Source organism: Homo sapiens, chromosome 19 (assembly GCF_000001405.40).
Source record: "Homo sapiens chromosome 19, GRCh38.p14 Primary Assembly".
Classification (NCBI taxonomy): Eukaryota; Metazoa; Chordata; class Mammalia; order Primates; family Hominidae; genus Homo; species Homo sapiens.
In genome coordinates, this window is record NC_000019.10 from 32,559,160 (window position 1) to 32,565,139 (window position 5,980).

General features: G+C 45.4%; 1 annotated feature.

The window, feature by feature from the left end:
* Positions 1,270-1,456: a silencer, noted in NCBI's record as "fragment chr19:33051335-33051521 (GRCh37/hg19 assembly coordinates)". NCBI's record gives its function as "represses an EF-1alpha promoter that drives an FKBP-Casp9 reporter gene in an ReSE screen in K562 erythroleukemia cells {active_cell/tissue: K562}" and the evidence as "EXISTENCE:reporter gene assay evidence [ECO:0000049][PMID:32094911]".

Below are 5,980 nucleotides of genomic sequence, written 5' to 3' on the forward strand. Positions count from 1 at the left end.
ACCCTTACCAGCACGGAAACAAAATAGCAAAGTGATCCAGTAAGCCCCCCAAAATTGAATACCTTGTAAACTGAAAATCACTCTCTTGGTCAAACTAGAAATCAACAAAAATCACCACCTATAAATAGATGACAGCAAGAGTGATACATGTCAAATGTCAGAAAAAAAATAGCTGTCTAGACTGAAAAATAAAGCCACAATATTGTATAGCTCCACCCATTGAAAGGTAGAGTTTTTTGTTGTTGTTTTGAGATGGAGTCTCGCTGTGTCGCCCAGGCTGGAGTGCAGTGGTACAATCTCGGCATGAGTCACGGTGCCTGGCCTGAAAGGTAGAATTTTTTACTCAGCCCTCGAACCTGGGCTATCCCCTGACTTGCTCTGGCCAACAGAACCTGTGGGAGTGACAGTGCATGAATTCCTGAGCCTAACAGTCTCTGTTTTGTTTTGTTTTCTTTCATTTTTTGAGATGGAGTCTCACTCTGTCGCCCAGGCTGGAGTGCAGTGGCGCGATCTCGGCTCACCGCAACCTCCACCTCTCAGGTTCAAGTGATTCTCCTGCCTCAGCCTCCCGAGTAGCTGGGATTACAGGCACCCACCACCATTCCCGGCTCATTTTTGTATTTTTAGTAGAGACAGGGTTTCACCACATTGGCCAGGCTGGTCTCGAACTCCCGATCTTAGGTGATCCACCCACCTCGGCCTCCCAAAGTGCTGAGATTACAGGCATGAGCCACCATGCCCAGTCAACAGTCTGTTTTTGTTCTCTGGGAATGTTGTCCTGGCACTGCCACTTAAGGAAGCCAGTCTAACCCACTGAGGATGAGCGGCCAGGTGAAGAAGAACACGGGGCCAGCACGCACTGCAGGACACGAGTGAGGCCCTTGGACTTTCCAGCCCAGCTGGCCCAGCAGCCAAATACCACGCATCAATGACCCCAGGTAAGCAGAGGAACCACGCAGCCAACCCAAAATATTATCAGACATAAACTGTTGACAGATTAAGCCATACGTTTTAGGGTGGTTTGTCATGCAGCATTAGTTAACAAACAATAACTTTAATTGTTTTCATTATTAATCATGACTTTTTTTTTTCTGAGACGGAGTTTCACTCTGTCGCCCAGGCTGGGGGGCAGTGGCACGATCTCGGGTCATTGCCACTTCCACCTCCTGGGTTCAAGCGATTCTTCTGCCTCAGCCTCCCGAGTAGCTGGGACTACAGGCACCTGCCACCGGGCCTGGCTAATTTTTGTATTTTTAGTTAGAGACAGGGTTTCACCATCTTGGTCAGGCTGGTCTGGTCTTGAACTCCTGACCTCGTGATCTGCCCGTCTCAGCCTCCCAAAGTGCTGGGATTACAGGCGTGAGCCATCATGCCCAGCCAATCATGACATTTTTAACACATCACACACGCGCGCGCGCACACACACACACACACGCACGCACACACATTGTAGAGGACATCTGCTGTTTTGGCCCACCCAGGATCCAGGTCCCTTTCCTCTGGTCACAGGTCCTCTCTGGAGGACTGTGGGTCTCCAGGAGTTGGGTGAGACTCAGGTGAAGTCAATCGTGATGTTAAGTTTTGAAGAGAAGGCAAGGGTTAAAGAAAGAGGAGAAAGAGAGAGAGGTGGCTCTACAACAATGCAGGTTTTATGTCCAGAACAAGATCTGTGGAGGTGGGGGACCAGCTTAATGCCAGAGCCCACTGCCAGTTACAGTCTGGGGTAATTTACAAGTCTGGCCAGGGAGAAGGGGGATCTGGACATTATGGCTTGCTGCCCAGGAGGATATTGATAAATTGTTGCTGTGATCAGGTGGTTTGGCCCTTTTTCTGGTGGGATGTTTTCCACGCCCGTCCTGGAAAACGAATTGTTTTAATGCCATTTAAATTAGGATCAAAGAGGCCAGGCACGGTGGCTCACGCCTGTAATCCCAGCACTTTGGGAGGCCGAGGTGGGTGGATCACGAGGTCAGGAGATGGAGACCATCCTGGCTAATATGGTGAAACCCTGTCTCTACTAAAAATACAAAAAATTAGCCAGGCGTGGTGGCAGGCACCTGTAGTCCCAGCTACTCGGGAGGCTGAGGCAGGAGAATGGTGTGAACCCGAGAGGTGGAGCTTGCACTGAGCAGAGATCACGCCACTGCACTCCAGCCTGGGAGACAGAGCGAGACTCCATCTCAAAAAAAAAAAAAAAAATTATAATCAAAGATAATCTGTAGGCCAGATGCAGTGGCTCATGCCTATAATCCCAGTAGTTTGGGAGGCCAAGGCAGGAGGATCATTTGAGGCCAGGAGTTCAAAACTAGCCTGGGCAACATAGTGAGACCCCGTCTCTACAAAAAATGAAAAAATTAGCTGGGTGTGGTGATGCACACCTGTAGTCCCAGCTACTTAGGAAGCTGAGTTGGGAGGATTGCTTGAGCCCAGGAGTTCAGAGGCTGCAGTGAGCTGTGATTGCACCACTGCACTCCAGCCTGGGAGAAGAGCAAGACCCTGCCTCTATACAGAAATTTAATTAGATAAACTTACAACTAAATATATTAAAAACAAACATAAACATAAGAAATACTCAGATCTTCTTTTCCCCATATCCACCATATTTTGACTTTGAGGTTACTTGCAGCTATTGTGTCTGTACGGTAGAAACACTATAAAATGGTGCCATCTCTTCCTAGATCCACATTAGGTGACTTCATGTTGTAGCTGAAAATCTGCCTTGGTGGGAGTTTTGGAAATTGATAAACGCTACAATCAGGCTTGAAAATATTTTTTTAATTGCATAGATCTCTGTAATCATAGCATTTTGGGAGGCAGAGGCGGGCGGATTGTCTGAGCTCAGGAGTTTGAGACCAGCCGGGCAACATGGTGAAACCCGTCTCTACTAAAATATAAAATATTAGCTGGATATGGCGGCGCACGCCTGTAGTCCCAGCTTCCGGAGGCTGAGGCAGGAGAATTGCTTGAACCTGGGAGGTGGAGGTTGCAGTGAGCTGAGATTGGGCCACTGCACTCCAGCCTGGGTGACAGAGCGAGACTTCGTCCCCCCACCTAAAAAAAAAAAAAATTGCTTGGATCTAAGAAAGCGGTGGGAAAAACTGTTAATGCCAATTAAACTTAAAAGTGAACAGTATTTATAGCTGTTACATTATGCATAGCACAGACAACTGAGAAAATAGTCTTCTGATATTCAAAAATTATTATCTGATTCAGCAAAGAAGTTGCTTATGTCATTGACAAACAAGTGATGTACCGACATATGTCTTATTTCACTTTCATCTTACTCCTTAAATAGAAATAGCAATCAGCATTTATGTCAGAAGTATACTAATTGATTGCAATCATTGGTTGGCTGTAGATATAGGACTTCAACAAAAATCAACGTAAACCTTTTGTTATAACCAACTGGCTATATGAAATTTACAATAAAGAATACCGTATACCATATATTTTATTACTATTTATAAGTTATATAATGGATTCTTTTTTTTTTTTTTTTTTGAGACGGAGTTTCACTCTTGTTGCTCAGGCTAGAGTGCAATGGCGTGGTCTCTGCTCACTGCAACCTCCGCCTCCCGGGTTCAAGCGATTCTCCTGCCTCAGCCTCCCAAGTAGCTGGGATTACAGGCGTGAGCCACTATGCCCGGCCTAATGCATTCTTTAGCATCAGTAAAATTTATAAAATGTTGATATATTAAATAATACTTCTCTACCCAGGTCCAGAAAAAAAGGTAAAAGCCAAAAATAATTAGATAAATAAATGTTAAATATACAACATTTTTTCCAGTCTCCTGATAAATATTTACCAGCATCCAGCATACTAAGTGGGCACAAGGCAACCTTTTGGGTGATGGAAATGATCTGTATATTGACTGGACTGATGGTTTCATGGTATATACATTTGTTAAAATTCATTGAACTATGCATTTAAAATGTATGCATTTTATTATATGTAAATTATACCTCAGTAAATTTGATTTTTTTAAAAAACATAAAATTGGCCAGGTGCGGTGGCTCACGCCTGTAATCCTAGCACTTTGGGAGGCCGAGGCGGGTGGATCACAAGGTCAGCAGTTCGAGATCGGCCTGACCAACATACTGAAACCGCCTCTCTACTAAAAACACAAAAATTAGCCAGGCGTGGGGGCAGGCGCTTGTAACCCCAGCTACTCAGGAGGCTGAGGCAGGAGAATCTCTTGAACTCGGGAGGCGGAGGTTGCAGTGGCCAAGATCACACCACTGCACTCCAGCCTGGGCGACAAAGCAAGACTCTGTCTCAAAAAACAAGAACAAAAACAAAAAAACAAACACGAGAAAACGACAACCAAAAAAACATAAAAGTAGGGTCAAAGGATAAGATGATGAAGACTCCAATTCCACAGTACTTTAAAAATTATTTGGGGTCCAGGCATGTGGCTCACGCCTGTAACCCCAGCACTTTGGGAGGCTGAGGCGGGCAGATCGCTTGAGTTTAAGAGTTTCAAGACCAGCCTGGACAACATGGTGAAACCCCATGTTGAAACCCCATGTCTACCAAAAGTACAAAAATTAGCCGGGCACGGTCTCACGAGCCTGTAATCCCAGCTACTCAGGAGGCTGAGGCAGAAGAATCACTTGAACCTGGGAGGCAGAGGTTGCAGTGAACCAAGATCGTGCCACTGCACTCCAGCCTGGGCGACCCAGCGGGACTCTGACTCAAAAAAAAAGGCGGAGGGTGGGGGATTACAGTATTTTGTTTGTTTGTGTATTTATTTTGAACTTCATTTAAGCCTAGAGAAGGCAAAAGTCACAGACGCCTCCCCGACAACCCGCCAGCTCCACAGCCGACGCATGGCTGAAGCTCTGGGCCCTCAGTCCTGGCACCAGCATGCCTCTGTCTCTCATCTTCTGCAGATACCCAGGAGAGCTTTCCTCTGTTAAAATAACAGCTGAGATTAATAGCTTTTGCAGTAATTATTGGTGACAGTAAAGGAAATGTGTGATTTGCACTTTTTTTTTTTTTTTGGAGACAGGATCTCACTGTGTCACCTAGGCAAGAGTGCAGTGACGCAACCATGGCTCACTGCAGCCTCGACCTCCCAGCGCTCAAGGGATCCTCCTGCCTCAGCCTCCCAAGTAGCTGAGATTACAGGTGTGCACCACCATGCCCAGATAATTTTTGTATTTTATTTATTTTGTAGAGACAGGGTCTTGCACTGTCACCCAGGCTGGAATGTAGTGGCGCAACCACTGCTCACTGCAGCTTTGACCTCCCCAAGCTCAAGCCATCTTCCCACCTCAGCCCCTCCGAATAGCTGGGATTGACTACAGGCATGCACCACCATGCCTGGCTAATTTTTGTATTTTTTATTTACTTAGTTTTTTCTGTAGAGACAGTGGTCCCACTATGTTGCCCAGGCTGGTCTTGAACTCCTGGGCTCAAGCGATCCTCCTACCTCATCCTCCCAAAGTGCTGGGACCACAGGCATGAGCCATCGCACCTGGCCTGAATTTGTGCTTTTAAAAGCCTCTCTAAGTATTTGGTGAATTTTCCACAGAGATGTCCTTCTGCCCTTAGCTCTTCTGTGCAGGAGGTGAACAGGAATGAGCCCATTCACTCTGGAGGCATGTCTTTGCCACTGTCTGAGAACAAAAGCCAAGTCTGAAAGTTAAAGTCACAAATATAGAGGGAAAGTCACATATCTGGACATTGTGTCTTAATGAAGATCAGCATTCAGGGAGCACTTGGAAACATTAAAACCTTTATTTTTTCATCCAGATATGTTACAATATGTTATAATATGTTACAATCACATCATTCTCTTTATATATGTACACGTCTGTATATGATATATATGTCATAATCATATTGACCTATATGATATATATCATATATACACGCTTTCATAGCAAGACAAATGCTTAAGGACAAATTGGTTTTACTTATTTTTGTGAATTAAAATCCTACCACTAGACTTGCCTTTAGCACCCTAAGCCAAGT